The sequence below is a fragment of the Homo sapiens genome, chromosome 2 (genome assembly GCF_000001405.40).
Source record: "Homo sapiens chromosome 2, GRCh38.p14 Primary Assembly".
In the NCBI taxonomy this organism is placed as follows: domain Eukaryota; kingdom Metazoa; phylum Chordata; class Mammalia; order Primates; family Hominidae; genus Homo; species Homo sapiens.
The window spans coordinates 206,627,878-206,652,163 of NC_000002.12; the positions used below are offsets into that span (position 1 = coordinate 206,627,878).

At 38.6% G+C, this 24,286-nt stretch overlaps 2 protein-coding genes across 2 annotated transcripts in view, besides 2 other annotated features; one reads left to right on the plus strand and one right to left on the minus strand.

Annotated features, from left to right (window-relative positions):
* Positions 13,800-14,381: an enhancer, noted in NCBI's record as "H3K4me1 hESC enhancer chr2:207506401-207506982 (GRCh37/hg19 assembly coordinates)". NCBI's record gives its function as "activates a minimal SCP1, AML or CMV promoter by ChIP-STARR-seq in naive H9 embryonic stem cells {active_cell/tissue: H9 hESC(naive)}" and the evidence as "EXISTENCE:reporter gene assay evidence [ECO:0000049][PMID:30033119]".
* Positions 14,382-14,961: an enhancer, noted in NCBI's record as "H3K4me1 hESC enhancer chr2:207506983-207507562 (GRCh37/hg19 assembly coordinates)". NCBI's record gives its function as "activates a minimal SCP1, AML or CMV promoter by ChIP-STARR-seq in naive H9 embryonic stem cells {active_cell/tissue: H9 hESC(naive)}" and the evidence as "EXISTENCE:reporter gene assay evidence [ECO:0000049][PMID:30033119]".
* On the plus strand, positions 14,610-21,488 carry FAM237A (family with sequence similarity 237 member A). The gene is made up of 3 exons (NM_001102659.3): positions 14,610-14,705; positions 16,350-16,771; positions 20,784-21,488. Exons 2-3 carry the CDS (start codon positions 16,360-16,362, stop codon positions 20,915-20,917), a joined length of 546 nt encoding a protein of 181 aa, NP_001096129.1. The 5' UTR covers positions 14,610-14,705; positions 16,350-16,359; the 3' UTR covers positions 20,918-21,488.
* Positions 21,489-23,743: 2,255 nt separating this feature from the next.
* The window catches only part of DYTN (dystrotelin), a 66,776-nt gene continuing 66,233 nt past the window's right edge, over positions 23,744-24,286 (minus strand). Inside the window, exon 12 of the mRNA NM_001093730.1 lies at positions 23,744-24,044. Within this exon, the coding sequence (NP_001087199.1) occupies positions 23,941-24,044 (104 nt within the window). The 3' untranslated portion in view covers positions 23,744-23,940. The remainder of the gene's footprint in view (positions 24,045-24,286) is intronic.

Sequence of the window (24,286 nt, forward strand, 5' to 3'; positions counted from 1 at the left end):
GAGTGAGCTACTGTACCTTTGAGTAAGATTGTAGAGATCCTGAACAGTAGTGTGGACTTGGTTCTGCAGGCAGTTGTGAGCAGGCTTCTGAGGATCAGAGTAATGGTAGCTATCTGGCAGTCATATGTAAGATGGACTGTGGGTAAGAGAGGCAAGAGGTGCTAAAACAGTTAGGATGCCAAGGCCATACCACAGGTCCAAGATAATGAACACCTGACACAGGGCTCCGGCAATGCAAAATGAAGAAGGGAAAGATCACACGAGTAGAATCGACAGAACTGTGCGTTGATTTTGGGAAGCAAGAGGCAGGGAAGAGTAAAACATAAAGTCCAGGTTTGATATCTGGTGATTGGACTGATGGTGACTTTATGGAAGAGATCCTGGTTTAGGGAGCAAAGATGTATTCCATTTTGATCTGCTGGAGTTGAAGGGCTAAAGGGAATCTAGGTGAAGATGTCCAGCAGGCTATTGAAAGGAGAGCATGGAACTCATCAGAGAGGCTAGCACAGAAATATTTACTTGAGAACCATGTAAGATTCAAAAGTTTAAGTCATAATTTAAGCCATAATCATTTATGCTATAAAATAATTTAAACCAGAAAAACTTGAGGCAATTTCCAGGGGAAGTAGCATAGAAAGGGAAAGCAAGGGAGAGGTGAAGAGAGGAGACTAAAGAGACTGAGGAAAAATATAGAATAAATGACCTGAGAGACCATTATTTCCATGAGATGAGCACTGTGTGCTAAAAGATTACTGAGAGCAGAACTGAGTTTTGTTAGTTCCAAGAACAGAATTGATGAAGAAAGTATGAATCAGCTCTTCTCATTGTAGCCATGATTCCAGTTGATGGGGACTCAATAATGGATAACACACAACCCAACTACCAAAGACCTGGGAACGTTAATAGGATACCTAAAACACTTTTGAGGGAAACTAGGATGTCCACACTTAAAGAAGTGTTTGATAATATCTCTGTGTTGCAAAAGAATGATTTTAAAAAGGAAACATTTACTTCCATTACTACAACCACAGTTGTACTTTCTTGAGGCTGAAGCTGAAATTGCAAGATTTTTGGTCTTCCAGGAACAAGAGATAAGAATTACACTCCTGTACTTATTAGAAACCAATTTTGATTTATCTGCAGAGTAGCTGTTTATCAATAACTTCCTAACAGCTTTCCACAGAAAAACCTTATTCCTGGGCCACTATGACAAAAGAGCAGAAGGTCATCACAGGTAGAACACAAAGAAAGTTGTGATTGTTCTCAAGTCTCCAAATTATATGCTCGGTGTCATACAAAAAAGAGGTGAGATGCTTAAGACATTTCTTCAAGCATTTAGTATTTTGAGAAGTGTGAGCTGAGCATACGAAATGAAAGGAGGCAATCCAAGTAGGAAGGAATGGGTACAGGTAACCAAAATGGCTCTAGTTGTTATTCACCAAGTTCTCAGAAAGTTGTATAACTTCTCCTTTCTTGGCAATGTATTGCCTGGAGCCACATTTAATTTGTTGCGGTTAGAAATAAATAAATCTTTCTTTATTAAGAAATATGAGGCCTTGTATTCACATATTTATATAAGACCAAATAATCCGATGAAAGGAGGAAAATGTAGTCAACTCAGTCAATTTTTGCTTTGTTCTCAGCATATATACCTAGTGGGTAGCTGCCGATATGGAATAAAAAGCTTTTTGCTTTTTCAGATGAATGAATTACAGATGAACATCTTTGAAGGAAGTCCTTTGACTACATGTATACAATTTCAAGTTATGCAGAAAGGCAAACAACTGATATATCCACAAGTCACATATCACTTATATTAGTGGACTATTACAAATACTTTGTAACATAGGTAATCTCTCTGCAATATTTTGATAGTTAGCTAAGTAGCTTTGCAACTCGTTTGGTTACCAAGTCTTGCATGTATTTACTTTTATGTTAGTGAAAGATAAAGATAAATTTTGAATTGCTTGTACAAAAAATGATCAATATCTAAAACAGAACTCCTTACAAAAAATGTGAGCGACAGCTAAAAATAATGGTGAAATCTTGCTTTTGAAAACAAGCGATATTTTCCACCATGGAAAAATTAAGTCCTGGAAGCATCCCGAAAGAATAATCCCATCCCCTCATAATGCTCTTCCTGCCTCCAGATACGGGGGCCTGTGGATGCTTTCATGCCTGCTATTCACTGTGAGAAAGGTTGTTCTATAGAATGTGTTGTGAGGCTGACCTTTGTCCTAGGAACAATTTTAGAGAAAGGGAGAAGTGTGGTATCTGGAAAGCTGCCAGGGACTGTGGGTCTCTACAGAGTGTGCTTAAACTACAGTGATTTAGAAATGGGAGGGAGGGGTCACACCTCAGTCAGTAAATATGACTTTTCAAAAATGACCAGAGAAAGGGGACTTGGATCTATTAGCAGATGAGCATGGCTTTAACTCTGTTTGCTGTTTTAATTTCCTCCCCTATTCTAGACTTTTACATCTGAAATGTTTATAATTAGAAAAGATAAGCGTTCAACGGTCTTCACAACCAGCACCAACAAGCCATCAGAAACACTGCTGGGTTTTATGAAATGCCTAAAGCAAATGCTTCTAGTGTGGGTTATTGCATGGTACCCTTCTGGTCCTGAAAGGGATCGATGCAATGATTGTGTAATAGATCTCCTGAACAGTTCCATCACTTGTACTTGTTACCCAGTGAGGGAGAAGTGCTGACTAAAGTCAAGAAACTTGTTCCAAAATGTTCTTTTTCTACTGGGGAAGATAAGCTATGCTGTATATCAAGGGCAGATGTCGTGTTTGAGAGCAAAGGTGGTCAGTTTTCTGAGAGTAACTCTAGATCAGGTCTATGAGTTGAAAAAAATTACAAACTCATATATCAGCGGAAGATATATAGGAAATTATAAACTTCTCACTAAAACTTAATCAGCAGTTGATGTCACAACTCTGTTAGAGTCTAGAAGTTTTCTGCATGATTATTATCATTATTATTATTATTATTTGAAACAGAGTCTCGCCTAGGCTGGAGTGCAGTGGCACAGTCTGGGCTCACTGCAGCCTCTGCCTCCCAGGTTCAAGCGGTTCTCCTGCCTCAGCCTCCTGAGTAGCTGGGATTACAGGTGCCCACCATCATGCGTGGCTAAGTTTTGTATTCTTAGAAGAGTTGGGGTTTCACCATGTTGGCCAGGCTGGTCTTGAACCCTTGACCTCAAATGATCCACCCACCTTAGTCTTCCAAAATACTGGGATTACAGGTATGAGCCATCGTGCCTGGCTCTGCATGATTATTAAATCAGAGTGACATATGGATGGCTACTTCAAGATGTGCATTAGGTATGAAATTTAGTCTCAGTATAGGATACACAGATAGGATAGAGATTATTTGTATGAGTATTTGAATATATAGTGTAACATATCTTTGAATATGTAACTTGTCTTTAAAAATCTGTGCTTATGTATATACACATACATTTAATTTATCTTAGGATATAACCCTCAGACATGTGAGAAGCATGGCCCTGTTGAAAGAAATGGACTCTTTTTCAGTAGCTGCTAGTTACTGCAGGAGAGTGGGGGGCACCAGTCATCCTGAAGGTTTTTAAGGAAGGGGAGGGTACTAAACAGGAGCCTGATTGCAGAGTGACTGAATGGTGAAGAGGTTTAAGCTCTCCACATACACTTTGGTTAGGTTTCAGTGGTTTCAGATGTGCATGCCTAATGACACTTGAATTTGAATAATACGAAATTCAATTTGGATGATCCATTTTATAAACATAAGGCGTTGTGATTTTGTTCAAATGAGCATTGATACAATTTCAAAGCCAGCGTGGATTGAAGGTCTTCAAAAGTTAGGAGGACTGAAGTTGTTTGTGATCTTAATGCAATGTTTTTCTCCTTGATCTCTATCATAATACATGCTTTTATTGTCTTTGTTTCACTTGTGCTGTTTTAAATTATCTTGTTGATCTATTTGTTCCCTTAAATATTGTTAGTCTCCTCCAGGAGAAATGGAAGTTCCTGGAGAGCAAAGACTTTGCTAACTTTATCCATTGATATATTCCTTTATGTCCATGACAGATGGCATGTGTGTGTGTGTGCATGTGCTCGTGTAATATTAAACAAGTGAATTGCTTTGGTTTGTGCATGTCTGTCATTATATTTTAGTGCCTTGTACTCTGTCTACTCTTGTCTGCTGTGTTCTCCATTAGCTTGTGGATTCATCAGTGGTTTAAAACATATCTTGATGATCTTTGATGGCACCCAGTAGAGAATGTGGTTTGAAATAGCAAGTATTTGGTCATCTCAACAATCTTCTCTTTGCTCAGAAAGATGCTATGGATGACCCCTCACATCTCACTGTCCTGACCTCACTTCGGTGAAGGAGCAGGGGTGAGACTGGTGTCACAGAAAATAGACAGTGACTGTTGTCCTCCCTGTTGGCATCCCAACTAGAGTTCAGGACAGTGTGTGATATATTTGTGGTTTCCCTCCTTGTTTTATTAACATGAGTTAAATGAACTAGGTTCTTTAATAGAAGACATCCTAAATAACCAAGAGAATTCTACCATTTTTGGGGAATTAATGTTTGTACCATCTGTTTTACATGAGGAATGAAGAACATTAGCTGAGAATAAAGAAGTTCCATGGGCAATATGGACTTCTATTTTTTTTACTTGAAATATAGGTGCACAGAATGGGTTTAATCATAATCCCTATCATTGATATACCCTATATTTTGATATACCCTATCGTTAGTCCATTGGCCTTTCACATGCATATATGTATTTATATACTTACATACTTACTTAAAATCATAAATATCCATGAGTCTACCACTCAAAATGATAATTAGAACATTGACAGTAACTAATATTGCCTATGTTAAACTCCTCTATCATGTTCTTGGCCTCCTCTCCCCTAATGTAATTAGTACCTTGATTCTGGTAACAATGGTTTTATTGTTGAAAACATACTTTTTAAACATAATTTTTATTATTATTAATAAATGTGTTATTAAGTTTTAGTTGTCATAAATTTATAAAAAGGGTATTGACATTCTCTATATAATCTTTGGGGACTTATGTTTTCCTTCTCAATATTATTTTTCTATAATCCATCCGTGGTGTTCCAACTAGCTGTACTTCATTCATTTTAACTGCTGTGAAATCGTCTATTGTGTAAATATACCACAATTTATTCATTTCCTACTCTTTGAGCATTTGAGTTCTTCCCTGTATTTTCCATATAAATAGTGTCTCTGTGAATGTTCTTGTGCATATTTCTTAGTGTACAAGTGTAAGAATTTCTCTCTGATTTATATCAAGGAGCGTAATTGCTTCTCATGAGATATATCAATGTTTAACTCTTTTCTACAGTGATCTTACCACTCTAGTTCTTAATTTTAATAATTTGCTAAACACTAGGATTTCTAGACATTTATTGAATTAATAGATTACTGTCCCAAATCATAGAATAATAAATTGATAAAGCAAGAAAAAAATCTGAGATTACCTAATTGGACCCACTCAACTTACAGAGAACAATGATGCATAGGATAGATGAAATGATCTGTTTAAAGTCCTAGAAATGATGGACTTTCAGATGCAGTCCCAAATAGTTTATGGAACCATCATTGCATTCTTACCAGCATCTTCTATTTCTCAAATAAATAATGTTTGATGAGTAATAATAAACTTCCATTTTTAAGAGAATAAGTCAAGACCTAAGAAAATAAAAAGATAAGCAGAAAAGAAATTATCGCAATTTAGGGTTAAGCTTGAATTTATTCAATGCATGGTTTCCCATCAGCTCACATTACCTTGTATTAAACTTGCTGTCTCCAAAGAAAGCCATTCTCAGCTCCTTGGACAAAGTACTTTACTTTCTCCCACTGAAGGTCTTTTTGCCTAAACTTGTTTGCCTCTCTTAATTACCATGTGATTTAGTTATAGTTCTTGAATTTCAAGCCTATGTCTACTGTTGAGGGTTAATTTTGAAATGCTTTTACTTTCTTCCTTAAAAGGGGGCAGATGTGGCTGGGCTGGAGCAATCCTTCCACTTGCTTCCTGCCTGACATATAGATTTTATGTCTGGAGCTGTGGCAACCAACCTACGGGTTTAAGAAAGGTCAAGAAAATTGTGGAAATGTAGGACTAATATCCTTGGGCCACTGAATTAACATCAGCAGCCACATGTAGTCAGTTTTTCTGTTACTTACAGCTTAATGCATTCCTAGCTGATGCACCATGTTACAAAAATGATCTCAAACTAGATTTTGAATATTTCTAATTTTCTAATGCCAGAAATTTAAAATCTTATCATTGGATATGAATTTTTTTCTCAGAGAAAAATGGTTTTATACTTTTATACCTGACATCTACTTTTCAGATGATAGTCTTTCAATCAGAAACTTCACTTTAGAAAATGTGTTCCTAATCACAACAAAGCAGTATCCTCATTCAGCAAAAGTGTAATTAACATTTTGGGCACTGGATGAAGAAAAAAAACTAAATTAGTTGACTGACATTTTTACTTCACTGTCCAGACATGTGAAAGAAAATTCACCAAAGTTAATTAATGACACTCACATCTCCAGCCTCAGATTCAAAAAGGGGCAATTCTCATATGTAAATTCAACCAGCATTGAATAGGACATTATCATACATGTTTTGGGCTCTAAGGCTGAGAATGGTTAGACATGACTCCCACTCTGAAGGAGCTCATAGTCTAGTTTAAGTAGCAGTGGGAAGGTGAGGAGAGACAGATAGGCATGTATAACAATTAGAATACACTAAGCAAATAATGCAAGCATGAACAAAATTGTATGGTAACAGTGCACAGCAGAACCAACTCCCTTAGACATACATGAGTCAAGGAAAGCTCCTCATCCCAGAAGCCCTGCTCAAACTGTAAGATGTTTTATGCATTCAACATATAGGTCTATATCCTCATTTTTCACAGATGTTTTCAGCTTGGCAAAAGTCCATGACTGTCATTGGACCCCAAGCTTTGTGAATCCTCCTGCTTCCCATATGTTGAAGTAGAAATTTAATGGTTTGTTTTGGTTTGGTTTTTGTTTTGTTTTTTCTATTCCATCATAATTGAAGCCTTAGGAAAAGGAAACTTACAATTCTAAAATCTTAGACTTTTGTCATTGTTGCCTTGGTATATAAACCAAATTGAAAACAAATTCATTATATTGTAGTCTTTTTTGGAAATCAGTAGGACAAAAGATAGGAGAATTCTGAAAGTCGGTATCTGTAATAGTCACTCTTGAACTGCTGGGATAATTGCAAAAGAAAAACCCAACTCTTGGCAAAGCCAAAGGAATCCCTGTGGGTGTTGAAACCTGCTTGAAAGAATGGTCAAAGAATGCAAGTATCTTGATAAGTACCCTGGGGGAAAAAAACACTACTACATCTATTATTACAACTACAGTATCTTCAGCTGGACAAGCAGAAAAAACATGAATGAACTATTCCTGTATCCCCAAGTAACTTTCCTTTTTCACACATTTTGGAATCAATGTCCAATATCATCTGACTACTTCACTGCAACTTGTCCGTATAAATTTGATGACACTTTAAGAATGACTCATCCACTTACCCCAATGAGCATTCCAGGAAATTGTCCTTGTTTATTGCCATTTCCAAATGATGGAAAAGCACAAAGAATGAGAGAAAAATAATTATTTTTACTATCTGATCCTAAATGTTAAAGAAGCACCCTATTCTTAAAGGTTGTCCCCATCATTTGCAAATTAATGCACTGCTGAAGATGCAAACTACCTATATAACTGCTCTCGAATTTCATTAAAACTAATCAGAAGTCCTTTTTAATGTCTTTGAGAATTGCTTCAAGTGGCAAAAATCAGAAAATCTACCCATGGGGCACCTTCAGCTAATTGCAATTTACTTTTCAACTAGTCATCCTTTAGCCTTAGGCTGCAACTGCACAAAGCTGAAACAACTCTTTGGGTGACAAATGCCAGTCAAACCAGTTATTTAGCATCATGTAATTTTAAATGACCATTGGTTTTCTGAATATTTTTTAACAAGTCAGAATGATGATGTGATGAACTGAGTTCAGATGAAAATCGTTAAAATTATTTTCTCTGCAGTTGAGACTGCCCTATGCTCCTTCCTAGTTGATATTGGGGGACAAGTAGAGGAATAAGGATAGACTATATGGTAAAGTTAATAGAGAGTGACAGACAATGCACATTATTTAGGACAGATAAATGACAGTGAATCAACCTAAGTTTCAGAAAAAGAACCATCACTCTTAATCAACTAAGTGACCCAATAAAAATCCCTTAATGGGAAATAGGGAGGAAAAAAAATGGTGTTTTCTTTGACATCACCTGAGACCATGTATATGAAAATAATGTTTTGTAAAATGTAGGTGCTGTCCAAATGTTAGCCTTTGCTAGAGAGAGTCTAATCTGTGAAAATGAAACCACAATGATAAGACATCAAACTAAGCATCCTTATGTGTTCAACAGAATATAGAGTGTTTCAATCTAATGGCTTGGTGGTGGCTTTCTTTTTATCTAAATGCAGGAATTGGAATGTCATTTTCCTCTTGCAATTATCAAGCTGAGAGTGGGGATCAGGATTAAAAAACATATATTTGGCCAGATGTGGTGGCTCAGGCCTGTAATCCCAGCACTTTGGGAGGCCGAGGCGGGCGGATCACGAGATCAGGAGTTAAAGACCAGCCTGGTGAAGATGGTGAATCCCCATCTCTACTAAAAATCCAAAAAAAAAAAAAAAAAAAATTAGCCAGGTGTGGTGGCAGGCACCTGTAATCCCAGCTACTTGGGAGGCTGAGGCAGAGAATAGCTTGAACCTGGGAGGCGTAGGTTGCAGTGAGCCGAGATTGTGCCATTGCACTCCAGCCTGGGCAACAAGAGCAAAACTCTGTCTACAAAAAAAAAAAAAAAAAAAAAAAAAAACACCAAGAACAAACAAACAAAAAAACCCACATATATTCCCCTTCCCAAGAATCTTGCCAAGTTGCCCCAATAACCAAGAAATAGAAATATATGTTACAACAGAGTATGTAGTGGTTAGGTTCTTACTCTAAATTTAAAAATTCAATAAGATGATTACTTAATTTACAAGTACAAGTTGATAACTTATATTTATGAGAAATGTTTAATCAGGACATTATATTCCAGGGTGGCAGTACAAAAGTATACTGAAGGTCAAAACTTCCTGTCCCAAGTAATTACTGTCATGCATTACTTAACGTAGGGGATACTTTCTGAGAAAAGCATCATAAGGCGATTTCGTTGTTGTGGGAACATCATAGAGTGTACTTATACCAATCTCGATTGTATAGCCTACTACACACTTACGCTATAGAGTATCGCCTATTGCTCTTAGGCTACAGACTTGTACAGCATGTTACTGCACTGAATACTGTAGGCAATTGTAACACAATGGTAAGTATTTGTGCATCTAAACACAGAAAAGGTAAAGTAAAAAATATAGATTATAATTTTATGGGACCACTGTCTTATATGCAGTTCGTTGTTGACTGAAACATCATCCTTATGCAACACATGACTGTTATATTAAAGAAAAAAAAGCATATGAGCAGATACCAGCTAGACATAAAAATTATCTTTTAAAATAATTTTTATTCCCATTGTCAAGAGCTGCTCTAGGCCTTCTGATTAGGATGGTGATGTCACACACCTTCAGCTTCTATGAAATAGGATGACCATTTCAATTCATTATTTTCAGACTTATAAGAAAGGTGGAGCTCAATTACAGTGGCCTTTATCACTTCATCTTAGCCACTTATTTCAGTGGTTGTGCTTAGGATTCAGAGCACAAAAATGGGAAAATCTCCACCTCTGAAATCTGAATAATGAATCTCCCTCTCCTGCCTTTCAGTGTCCCCTCTCCTTACTCCACTTATACCTGTTTTCTCTGCCTTCAATGAGACTTCCAGTTCCCCCCTTTCCTCCCAGTCTTTCATTTCTCTACTCCTTTTTCTAGCCTGCTTACACCCTTGATTCCTTTAATCGGTGGCGTAATGACTATTCTTTTCTCTTACATTCAGTCAGATGAGCATTGTAGAAGGAAAAAAATAACTAATATTTGTCAAGTCTTGCTACATTTAGCACCATTCTAAGTGTTTTCTGTATATGATCTCATTTTATCCTTACTAACCATGAGGAACATTTCTGCCCATTTTACAGGCAAGAAATCTGTTTCACAAAGATTAACTAACTTGCCCAAAGCATTATATCAAATCAAAAGCACTTGATTATATCAAATTGTAGACATCTCATTATTAAAAAAAAAAGAAAACTAAAAGAAAATGCTGCAATTCTAATTACAAGGTGCCATCAGTTGACAGATATATCCTGATTTCAGCAGTGTTAAATGTGCATTGCCTCTAAGACTCAATGACATATAACAAGTGAGGGATCCATAGCATGATAGTCTTCACTATTATGTTATTTTACCTCATAAAAGCCATACAAGCATGCAAAATGTTTATGACAAATTGATGCAAACTTTACCTGGGATTTGAGTACTGTTCTTTAGTCTATCTCCTCTCTCCTCTCTCTTCTTTCCTTCAAAGATTAATCACAGCTTTTCTGCTCTTTTTAAGCTTCCTACTTAACACCTACCCTCATTCACTTTTTTTGTGGATCACTGTGCATCTTACTTCATTGAGAAAATAAGACCATTGGTCGCGTGTCTCTTAACTTCTGCGCCCCCTACCCACCACACTACCTGTAGACATATCCACATCAACAGAGAACCTCCCTTTCTCCCTCTGTTTTCAAGGGCAAGTGTTCTGCCCTTCTGTTGTAGTCTGGCTCCTCCTTATCCTCTTACCCCTGTTGCTTATTGTTTCTTCTGAGGTTACTAGTCATCCTTCTCTCCTAATCTGCAACCCCTCTCTCTCTATGAGTTTCTCTCCCTCAGCCTGTAAACATGGCCAAGGCCCAACTCCTAACTTTCCACTCCAGTCTTTCTCCCTCTTATTTGAACTTCATGGAGAATACTCCACAGGCACTGTCTTCATTTTCTCACCTTCCATGTCTGCTTCAGCCTACCGCAACTTCTCCTCCCTTAACATTTAGTTGAAATTGCCCTTAACAAGTTTCTTGGTGACCTGCTATTTTTTAGATCCAATGGAATTTTTTCATCTTCATTTTATTGACCCCCTTTGCTGAGTTTGTGTGATATGGTTGATTTCTTCTTTATGTGAAAAGCTCTACCTAACTGGCTTCCAAGGCAGCACACTCTCCTGATTCCTCCTATCTCTTTGTTTCTTAGTGACTCCAATACTGGCATTTTCCAGGTTCTATCCCAAGTTGTATCCCTACTGTTGTAGCCACTTTCCACACTTTTCTCTGATGGCTCAAAATATTGCCTACATGTTGATGAAATCCCAAATCTGGACCTCTTTCCTGAGCACTGTATCCCAAATATTTATCGTAAGTTCCCCCTTCTTCCCTACCTACTTGGAATTTCCATTTGGATGTCAGTCATCTCACACTCAACATGTTTAAAACTAGATTCTTATTTTCCTTTCCTAAACCTATTCCTCAAATCATTTCTCCTTTCAGCTGATGGAAATTCAAATTTCCATTTACTTATTCCCCAAAAGTTGGTGTCATCTTCAACTTCTCTCTCTCTGTTGGACCTTATATCCAGTCCATCGATGAGTCTTATCCCTTCTACCATCAAAATATATTCAGAATCTGACCACTTTCACCCTCTCCACTGCTGCCACCCTTATCTATTCCGCCATCTTATCCCACCTTGATTGCAACAGCTCCTAACTGAGCTCCCTCCTCGTCCCTTGCTCCTCTCTGGTCTGTTCTCTACTGAGCAACCAACATGGATTTTTGGTCACTTCTCTGACCTCATGTCCTGCCACTATGCCTCAAAAACACCCTTCTCACACCACACTTGTTCCAAAGCCATCAGACTTGTTTTCCCACCCCCAGCCTGAAGCATTCTTTTACTATGCATGACTCACCCTCTCACTTTTTTGGGTCTTTGCTCAAATATCTTCTTATCAGGAAGGGCTTCTCTTAGTATTCTATATAAAATAGCTCTTCTCCATCATCCTTTTCCCTGCTTTACTTTTTGTTGATGACCCTTTGTTTTTTTCACAGAGACTCGCTTTGTAATCCAGGCTGTAGTGCAGTGGCGTGATCTCAGCTCAGTGCAACCTCCGCCTGCTGGATTCAAGCGATTCTCGTGCCTTAGCTTCCTGAGTTTCTGGGAGTACAAATGCGTGCCACCACACCAAGCTAATTCTGTGTATGTATTTGTATTTTTTTTAGTACAGATGGGGTTTTACCATGTTGGCCAGGCTGGTCTTGAACTCCCAACCTCAGGTGATCCACCTGTCTCGGCCTCCCAAACTGCTGGGATTACAGGCATGAACCACTGCACCTGGCTGACCCTTTGTTTTTCTTATCACATCTGACACTTTACTCATATATTTTTTCTTGGGCTTCAGAATGACGGATAAACTTTATTGACTCATGCATGGCACTACTTGTGTATTTAATTAGCTAGTTGTGTGTTTGTTTTTGATAGATAGCTGTAAACTCACCATTCAACATAGAAACTAGAAGCATAAATCATATATTATGTGTGTGCACACGTATACATATACACTATATATGTGTATAGATATAATTTTAAAATTAAAATATAAATAATTTTTTTCCATCACTCCAGACTCAACTAGCATGTAAGCTACATGCGTACAAGGACTTTGTTTTGTTCCTTCTGTATACACAGCATGTAAAATAGTGCCTAACACATAGGCACTTGAAAATAAAGTAAGCACTGCATGTTTATATATGAATGTTTTCAACAGTAATGTAACTATTGACACGTCCCAAACCAGGGGACACATCTTTACCTCTGTTCTGTTCGGCCTTCCCTCTCTACAGTCCTTTCTTTGACTTCGCTCCCTAGAAGCATGAACTGCGATGAGCACTCCCTTCCTGCCTTTGCTTGTACTGTCTTCTACCCCTGAAACTGCACTCCTGACCCTTTGGCTTTAGGATACCTGTACAACTCGTTTTTCCAGACATTCACGAGTCACCTCCAAATGCTTTCTCGATCTGACGATTATGTGTCTTGGGGTTGATCTTGTCATGGAGTATCTTACTGGAGTTGTCTGGATTTCCTGAATTTAAATGTTGCCCTATCTTGTTAGGTTGGGGAACTTCTCCTGGATGATGTCCTGAAGTATGTTTTCTCCAAAGGCATGAGCTCCTCAAAGTTCAGGAAGCAAGTCCAAGACTTCACCCTTGATCTTTTTCCACAGCCCTATGGGGTGAATAGAAGCAGACATTAGATACAGCTCACACATGGAGAAACTGAAGTACACTCCATCATTTCTGAGCAGGAGGAATAGCTCAGAGCCCCCCAGAACTCCTCTTCAGACCTCCTATTTAATGGTACCTTGGGGAAGGGGCTGGTTCTCTGTGGCTTCGGCAAATCTTACTACAAAGCCTTGTGCCCCTCGGAAGGTAACCATGGATACTATTGAGCTGGCACAAAAGCCTTCAGTTAGTGGAGACTACAAGTGGTTTTCAGGGGCTGAAGGAATTTTCAGGAAAGGGGCAAAACGTGGAAACACTTGCAGAGGGAAGACCTTTGCCTCAGGCCCCTTGGCTGGGTGTGTTTCAGTTAAGATGGGCACTTATGCTCAGAGGAGCACTGGAGCAGTGACAGGGCTCTAATCTGGGACTGGGATAGTAAGTAGCTGTGAGGTGAGAATCAAAGGGAATCCCAGGCGCTTTTTTTTTCTTGGAAAGCTGGGACCCTGCTGTGAAATCTGGAGCGGGGTTGTTGGGGGGTTGAGGTGCTGACCAAAGCGATGCCAGCAGCAACCCAGTCTCCTGAGTGACCCAGGCCAGGGTCTGGAAACAACGGGGTGTCCTGGCAACAGTCAGGGGGAGCTTCCAGCAGGGCGAAGTCCCTATCCTCATCTCTGCCCTCGGGGGTGTTTTTCTCCTTTCGGCCCAGGGCTACAGGCAGGAGAAATTCACACCTGGAATATCTCGAGGAGGCGCCTTATTTCCTCTGAGCCCTTGCTGAGTGTCGAGAGGCAGCTCATGTCCCTCCTCCGACCCCAAGAGTCCACAGTCTTCCCTCACACCCCTTTATTCTCGGACGAGGCCCGTGTGGTGAGCGGGAACCCCTGCTGTCCCCTGGACCAGCGCGGAGCTGGGCCCTAACTTTGCAGTTCCCGCCGCATCGGCACGCACCCGCGAGGTGGGAGCGGGAAGCCCAGCCGCATTAGAGGCTCAATTCCGGCAGGTGCAGAGTGGGTGCGGGTCAAGGCCAATGAGAGTGTGTGTGGCCAAGCCCGCTGGTTTCCTGAACCGAAATTCTCCGGGGAGGGAGAGAAGAGGAGGGTGCGGGAGACGGACTTGGAGGCGAGAGGTGGCGGCAGTTTCCAGGAGCTTTGACGTAGACTTGGAGAGGCGCCGAGCACTCCCACTGCTTAAGTAGAGGCACGGTAGCCTCCAGGACGCGGAAGCTGGGGACAGCCACTCGCTCGGGAGCAGCCTGAGCGTTTCCTCTCCGCGTACTCGAGGGAACTCTCTCCACGCGTTCGAGGGAACCCGGAAGGGGCCAGGCGGGTGAGTGCGGAGGGAAGCCCTTGTGCCATCTGGGAGTAGAGCCGCCGAGTCAGGAGGTGAGTGGGGCCCAAAGGACAGAGTGGGTCCCTGGCAGCTCCGCCCTGCGGAGGGTGAGGCTGCGCAATCAAGTGCGGGGCCGAGACTCAGCGCGGGGCTCGTAGCGGGGTGCACGGAGGACTCTAGGTTCAAGGAACTCAGAGAAACACCTTTCCAGGGTCTGGGAAGCCTCTCCTAAAATTTAGAAGGGGACCTAAAGGAGCCAATTTGAGCGCCGTGGCGCCAGCAGACAGGGAGTCCCGGATAACGCCAACTTCAGTACCTTGGACAGAGTCCTGCCCTCTGAAAACTTAGCTTAGACTTGTCCTTTAGGAAAACCACCCTTTGAGGTACCTCGATATTTTAGTTCGGAAAGGGACACAACAAATATGATTTCAAGTAGAGATAATGCATACATGATATGAAAGATAGAGGAAATAGTTTTTGAATAATCTTGTATCTCTAACATGCTTCTTCAATATAGGAACATGCATGTTCAAAGACACTTTCTGAAATATTTATTTAACAGTACCTAAACATGTCCTACTGCTGTTCAGAAGAGACAGATTATCCAACTTATGGTGTTATCATTAAATATTCCAATATAAGAGTATTCCCACAAGCTGTATTTTGCTTGCTTTCATGATACTAACATCTAAAAGGTTTGGAAATATAATACAAACCTGAAAGTGAGCTGTATGTGCCCTTCCTATTTTTTCTTTATGTTAGAGCTGTTTAAATGTGATACACATTTTGTATAGTCTGTGAAGGAATATATACACTTTTTCTGGCAAAAAAAGTGAACATTTGGGTTATTATTATTTCAAGAGCATCGTTTATCATTGCACCTGTCCGAAGTGGTAACAAAAGAACAATTTCAAAGTGGTATGTAGATGACTCAATTTTATGGCAACAGACATTGAAAGCCAGAAAAGTTGAATGAGAGTCACGTTTTTTAAAAAAAAAATCCTTGAGATTCATAGCAAGAACAGAGAGATTATAAAACATTATCTTTATGAAAGTTATATCAGAATTGCAGAACATTATTGGTATTTGTAAAATGCTTATTGATTCTACTCTAATTGGTTGAATATATGTCTCTTTGTTTCCACATATATTCATCCATACTTTTAGCACATTGTCTTTTGTTAATTTTACTATAACATTTGACAATTCTGATGTATTTTTTAAAAAAATTAAAAGTCACAGTGAACAGGAATGGATCTAAAGGTTAAATATATTTAAATTCTTAATTATATATAAGTCCTAGATTAGGAGAGCCAGGTTTCGCTAAGATATTATGGAATAGTTAAAGCCATGCAGCAAAATTTTAAATGTTCACTTAGTATGCTGTTAGGCTACATTCTTCTGTACCAGAGAAAAACAGATTAGCAGATTAATTTATTCATCTTGTAAAGGAACACATCTTAGGAGGGAATATGTCTTGGCCTGACCGTCTTGGATTTATGTTCACTCCCTGGCCTGGCAATGAGTCATTTTAGATAGAACGGAGCTTGTGATATGGGAGCTTGGCTAAGATTTCCCTACTTTGTGACAATGATGTGTTTCCTTTGCTGGAAGTAAGGTTATTAAGGGCATACTTATTTTCTTTACTGAGCAGAGCACAAGCGGGGACTGATAAGAAATATTTCCATCCTGTGCAGTTTTAGGGCCATGGCTGATCCTGGGAACAGAGGAGGGATCCACCGCCCCTTGAGCTTCACCTGCTCCCTGCTCATTGTGGGAATGTGCTGTGTATCTCCTTTCTTCTGCCATAGCCAGACAGACTTGCTGGCTCTTAGCCAAGCTGATCCTCAGTGCTGGGAATCCTCCTCAGTGCTTCTCCTGGAAATGTGGAAACCTCGCGTTTCCAACACTGTTTCAGGCTTCTGGGATTTTATGATCTACCTGAAGTCATCTGAGAACTTGAAGCATGGAGCACTGTTTTGGGATCTGGCCCAACTCTTCTGGGACATCTATGTGGACTGTGTGCTCTCTAGGAACCATGGCTTAGGAAGGAGGCAATTGGTTGGAGAGGAAGAGAAAATCTCAGCAGCGCAGCCACAGCACACAAGGAGTAAACAAGGTGGTCAACCCCAGCTCCCATGTCTTTTGAAAGGGTCAATCAAGTATGAATGTGCTGAATTGTGAGGAAGAGGGAAATGGCATTAGGGGAATCCAGTGTCATATATATTCCTCTCAAGAGGTGAACCCCAAGAGCACATAACTGATAGGAAGATAGATAGTACTTCTTTTTGCATTGCATAGTAGCTGTTTATATCAACATATTGTCCTCATCCTCATACTTCCTGTGAACAGCAGCAAGGAAGAGTCAGAAAGAAAAGACAAAAAGCATGATTCCCAAAATACAGCATAAAAGTATAAACAGATCCCCCAAGATCAACATTATTTTTTACTATTAGCCTGAACACTGGCAGTCATAACCTGATGTTTACTTGCCGTGGAATTGAGAAGACTTGAATATAAGCTTAGGAAACATTTGCAGCACACAAATTCTTGCCCTTGTTAAACTGAAAATAAATATTGCTTTCATGTAAATAGAGAGGCTCTTTGAGAGGTATTCAGTTGAAGAAATAAAGAGTAAAAAAGTCAGCTGGCATGTAGATTCACTTCATGTTGCTTTTTGAATGAATCTCAAGTAAGTAATTAACTTGCAGCAATCTGAGTAATTAATTTTTAGTAAGTTGGAACTTGCTACAAATTTAGAGTTTTTCATTGAAGTAAATACTATATTCAAATAGTCTCGTCTGAGGGTACAGAAAAAAAGTCCCTTATAGAATTAGAATGAGGTTGAGTAAGCCTCTGTGAGTAAGCAGAGAGATGCCTGAACCCTATACATATTATTGTTATCTTTTTTTGATGTCATTTCAACCAATGAGCATTGAAACCTTTTATCAAGGGCTGTTTGAGTGCCAGTAACTCTTTAGAATTATATATACAACAGTAGAAAACAGGGGCATAACTAATTTTTACATTTGTACATTTTAGTGTTAGAATTGTTACATATTCCTGTAACCTCCATATTAAAATAGCAATTAACAGTGGTAGTTCTAGTGCTACCCTTTCCCAAGATATTTTAGAGCTTTTATATATCTAGTTTGTTTTAACCTTAGTAATTAAAAATCCTCATGATTTGCTAATCCAAAAAACCCAGATAATTCATGGCTATTATTTACAGATAAGTTTATTATTTTGGTAAGTGTTATTGTAACTCAAACCAATTTCATTTTTAGAGGAAATATTCTTTCAGCAGCCTTGCTACTAAAGTAGAAATACCAAATGAATATTTTTAAATGTTGGTTACCCATATTTTTAAAATATTTTGAACAGAGGCTGCCCAGGCATCAGCACCAGTACAGACCATGGTTTTTTTTTTTATTCTATACTGCTGAGGATGGTCTGTAGGGCCTTTTCTTCCATACTTTAAAAATCATATTGGCCAGGCATGGTGGCTCACGCCTGTAATCCCAGCACTTTGGGAGGCCAAGGCAGGCGGAACACGAGGTGAGGAGATCGAGACCATCCTGGCTAACACGGTGAAACCCCGTCTCTACTAAAAATACAAAAAAATTAGCCGGATGTGGTGGCGGGCACCTGTAGTCCCAGCTACTCGGGAGGCTGAGGCAGGAGAATGGCGTGAACCCGGGAGGCGGAGCTTGCAGTGAGCCGAGATCGCACCACTGCACTCCAGACTGGGTGACAGAGCAAGACTCTATCTTAAAAAAAAAAAAAAATCATATTTAGCTGTCTTACTCAAATCACCAGCAATATCTTTTTCTATCTTGCACTTACTTTGAATAACTCAAAGAAATGTCTACTAAATAAATGAAAATATTATTTCTATTCAGCTGAACACAAAAAGTTATATATATACTTATTTTATAAAGCTTTTCTCCGAGACAGCTTCAGCTTTGGAAGTCACTTCCTTCGTCTTGCTACGGAGTTGTTGGTGATTCAGCTGGTCTGCAAACTTTAGGGAGTTGGTATGCAAGTAGCCAAATAGCAGGAGTGAGTGTTTCACTTTATTGAGATTATTTTAATGTTTGACACAAAAAATTGTTTGCAGACCAAGAAACAAGACTTTCCATTTGGTTTGTATAACCACAGTCAAAGAGGGTCTTGGGTCAAGGAAATACCATGTCCAACAGTTAAATAGTTACAGGAACATTGAGATTTCATCTCAAGAGGCTTGATTAAATCTCTAGAGGTTCAACTGGGCTCTGAATGTACCTGCATGGATCCTCCAATATTTTTTTTCTTTTGTCCCTCGGGGATAATATGTTGTTAGGTTGGGACGGGAGTGAAGGTGAAGCAGTGCTTGTCTCCATAGTTCTCAAGGAAATCACATCATCAAGTCAGAAGACAAGAAGAACTAAAATAAGTGTCTACGTAATATGCAAAAAGTTCTTGTTATTTTGATGTCTTCAGATCAAATAGTGTAAATGCAGTTGATAAATCTTACTATGAATCATACTTTGTTAAAAACATAAAACTCCTATGTAATTTTGCATGTTAATATATCATATTTGTTAATACTGAGTCAACAAATATGAAAACAAAAAAATATCAAATAACTGCGTAACCGTGAGCAAGTTAACTAATTTAGCCATCAGTTCTTTCAACTGAAAAAGAAATGTATGGAAAGTAGATGACACACAAAGTCTCATCTTTTCTGTTCCAATGTACTGTGATTCTATAAAAAAAAGAAACGTATGAAAGGCACTTATTTAACTATGAGAAGAACCTGGAAGAGCTTCACCCCAAGGACCGTTGACTGAGCTGGATGATGACCTGGACACCATGGCTGTTTGTAACAGTGATTAGCAGGAACAGACGAGGTTCAGAAATAAAAGGGCTAGAGATGTCATTATGAGAAAAGCCTCTAAAGATCATTGTTATTTAGTCTAGAAAGGCATGGGCTAATAGCTGAAGGTTGAAGTATCCAAGAGAAGGTATGAAGAGGATGTACCCAGAGTTAACTAGTTAACCACTAAATTTTGATGGGTTATGTTAAGGGAGAAAGAGAGAAAGGGTGAGAGAGACACACAGACACACACACACACACACACACACACACACACACAGAGAGAGTGTGTGTTAGGGAAAGAGCATACTGATGACTCCCAAATAGAAAATAACAGAATTGAGAGTAACTCATGGGTTAGTAAAGGCTTCAATGCAAATGAAGAAATTTTGAAGTACATTCTTCTTTGTGTCAAAAATGGTGGCCTCCTCCTTCAACAAACCTTGCTCTGCCACTGGGAGGGACAAAAAGCCTGCCTTCCTGAGCCTGGCATTTTGTATGTTCTAGAAAAATAGTGAGTCTTTGTTTTCCTCTGCGATGAGAAAATTAAAATTTAGATTTATAATCTGATGGTGTTTGCAGCTGGTGTCTCACTAGCTGGCCAATGCTCATAGTGCTTATATTTTAAACACTAACCACAAGAGAAAACAATGGTTCAGAAACATAAATAGGTTCTCAAATGCTTGATTTTCTACTTCACCCACTCCAAGAAATTTTCTAAGCCACATACTCAGCAATTACCCACCTAGAAATCTACTGTTAAGAAACATTTAGAGCTGCAGCCAATGATGCAATCCAAAGCTATTCATTGCAATATTATGTATAGTAACAGGAAACCTGGAAACAATCTAAATGTCCCACGATAGGGTAGTGGTTAAATAAGTTATAGTATAAAGTGTGCATACACAAAACTATGGTTATCTCTAGGAGGTTACATTTTGAGTGGTTTACATTTTTTTCTTCATATTTCTATATAAAAATATATAATGACTATTTTTCACTTTAAAATCAGGCAAATATTTTAATGCCTATTAATTGACAAAAATGTACTTATTATAATGTATTTGTTTTAGATTATATAACTAAACTGCATAGGACACAAGACTTTGCACAAATACACACTTACATATATTCCTCTGAAATCAATTTATAGAGAATTTTGATATTGGAGTGGCAGAAACATCAAACCTGCCTTTTAAAGATAATTTATTGATATTTAATTAACCTGAAACTAATTTGGTGATCTTATGAAGTTCCGCTTTTCTACTTTCAGGTACATATTCTCAGCTCCTAAGGACCTCCTTCCTAAAGAAGAAAGAGTTGATTGAAGATTTGATAAGCATGCATGTGCGTAGGAGTGGGTCTAGTGTCATTGGAAAAGTGAACCTGGAAATAAAGAGAAAATAAATTGAACTCGGAGCTAATTCATGCCTTGGAATTAAATATACATATATATAACATTTTTCTTAACTATTGATTATTTATTTATTTTAAATGGTGGGAATGCCCAGAGATAAATATGAACCCAAATTCTCTCAGTATACTAATTTAAAGCTGCCTTCTATTATTTATTTATTTATTTTAGGCTGCTAGCATGTTTCTTCTAATGGTGACATTACTGCCAGTCTATCCCACAGTCTAAAGGAGTTAAATAACTTCCAGAGATGACTTGAGGATTCTTTGTATTCATTTAATAGTTCATTTTGGGATGCTTGACATGTTAATAAACTAGTGTGCCATACATTTAACTTGAATACACTGCATGGCTTCCAAGACTTCAACCACTGGATTGCTTATGCACAGGCACATAAGGGACTACATTTTGGAATTACTAGTTACTGACAATCTATGATATCTGAATCTTGTTTGACAGCATATTTTTGAATACTGAATGAAGCAAAAAGTAAAACAAAACAAAAAACTGGCAAATAAAGCATTCTTCTAATGAAAACAAAATTAATAAAAGCTCTGGACCCCAGGTAATGTTATTGGAGTCTCTTTATTTCAATATTTAATGTTATCACTAATGACATCCAAACTCTAATAAAATAATGTTTAAGTGTAAATAGGTACAAATTATTTCCCAATAAGCATATTTGTTATTTGATTAAATATTATAACTCTATAAGTGGTTACACTTTGCATTGAAAAACAAAATAAAGCGAACAGCATTATAAGAGAAGAACCCATAAATAATTATTTTCCTGAAAAATGACCAGGCCCGAACAAGGTTTATAGCAGAGAAGTCCAATTAGCAAATGTATTTGAGTTAGAGACACAATGCTATTTTTATCTCTAATTATTCCCAACTCTCCAATCATTCTATTATAACCAATATGTAGGATTGACAGCCAGTTTGAATTTCAGATATGTTAGCAATTCCCTTGCTTTTTTCAGGTCCAAAGGAAGCCTCAGTAAATCTTTTCATTGAAGGATTAGGGCCCTCCTTAAACTAGAAATTGCATCTAAAGGGTTATTATCAGAAAACAGTTTCATTTGAGGATTAGTTGAGTCTTCACAACAAGAAAAGGAAGCTTGGGGAAAGAGGTGGGGGAGAAGGCCCAGCCTCAGCTTTTGGCTCCTTGGGAAAATTAGTATTTTATTAAAAAGTTGCCACCCTTTGACTACTTTTTCAACATACAGGCTCATGATTTTGCATTGATGGTGCTTTTTCTAACGTTTTTCATCATATTCTTCAAAACTATCACGTAAATTCACTATCTCTTATAAATCATCAAAGAGAAACTACACTTGGAGAATGAGCTTGCAGAAGAGCCTGCCCTTTGTTCTTCCCTCACCTTGGTACTCCACAACGGGGATTGGCAATCTTTTTCTGTAGAGTCTGATAGTAAATATTATAGGCTTTCTGGGCCATCCAGTCTCTGCTGTAACTAATCAATTCGGCCTCGGCGGAACAAAAGCAGTTATCACAATACATAACTGAGTGAATATGGTTGTGTTCCAATAAAACTCTGTTTATGGACACTGAAATCAGAGTCCATACACTTTTCAGGTGCCACAGAATATTTTTCTTTGGACTTTTTCAATTTTTTAAAAAGATATAATAACCACACTTAGCTCATAGCCTGTTCAAAACAGGGAGCAAGCCGAATTTGGCCCAGGGACTGCAGCTTGCTGATGAAGCTTACCAAAAGTGTAAGGAACAAACTGGGATGAAGTGAAAAGAAGAGTAACTATGCTAAGCAACAAAACTAAAACCAACAGTTTATGATAGGCTGAAAAGCAGATTAAAAACTATTAGGATGAGACGGAACAGGGATAACCTAGTCCTAATCCCATCCAATGAGACATTATTTCACTCTGTAAACAGTTCTAGGAATTACAGATCATATAAAAATCCACAGCCTTTCTGAATGTAACATGGCCTGCATCTCAAGATAATAGACAAAAACATTGAAATCACCACAATGTTTATTGAAAGGAAGTACAGAGTAGTAGTTACAGTATAGGCTCAGAAGCTGAGTTCAAATCCCAGCTTCATCAAGAAGTGGCCAAATCAACTTTGGACAAGTTACTAAACCTCTTTGTGCCTCAGTTTCCTCATAAAATGAGAAACGTACTACCTAGGTTTCTTGTGAGGATTAAATGAGTCAGCACATAGAAAGTGCTTAAAAACTAAGTGCTCTAACAGTCAAAAAAGGTTAGCTATTACTTTGGGCATTAGTAAGTTAAGCATCTATAACCTAATCCAACATAACAGAGAAAGGAGGCACACTGATGCTTTAGTGAAACTTGTTGGATGTGGAGATTTTAGCGACAAACATTCATATATTAAATTTTTTATTTTGAGATACTTGATTCATATACAGTTATAAGAAATAATACAGAGACGTCTGTATGCCCTTCATCTAGTTTCCCCAATGGGAACATCTTGCATAACTATGGTACAATATTACAACTAGGAAACTGACAGTGGTATAATCCAAATTTATTCAGATGTTACCAGTTTTACATGCACTCAATTGTGTGTGTGTGTGTGTGTGTATGTATGTAGTTAGTTCTTTGCTAAGCCTATTCTCCAGCAGAAGCATCAAGATAGAAAATTAGGCCATCAATTCAGTAATTTACATGATACTTGAGGAAGACAGTTGCATGCATCTATGTAGGTCACACACTTGAATGTTACTCCGGAGGTATTCACAATAAGGATGGCCCTTCATGCAGAGATCTGACTCTGCCATATCTTCCTTCCTTCTTCATCCTCTACTCGCCCTGCTAACCCCCAACCTTCACTCTGAACTGCAGAACTAAGATACATAAGTAGGGAGGGAGATCAAAAAACAAAACCTGTTTTCTTCATAGTTCACACTAAACTATTAAAAGAAAGGTAGAAGTCTTAATTCTTTTAATACAGTTGTGCAACTGCATTTTGTCATCACACCAAGAGGCCTTTGAGCCTGGACTCCATTTCACTTCAAATTGGGCAAGGCAATTTGATCAACAAGGGCAGAGAAGGCCCTGCACACTCGCTGAGCTCCACTGTACAGGTCCATGTTTACTGAAGACTCCGGGCCTGAAATCAACAAACAAGAGAGTCATTTAGAGAAACATACCGGTAGCTTCTCATGAAGATATTGATAAAGCTCTCACATGGAGAAGAAACAGAATCCATTTTTCTTCAGTTCTCAAGGACAATGTCCTTAAGTTAGCCAGCAAATAAGATGGCTATTATTTACCACGATCATTACTACGAATTCAGTCAGGCATAGGTTCTTAAGAAGCACTTTCCCACGGCTCCTTGCACAAATCGGAGTA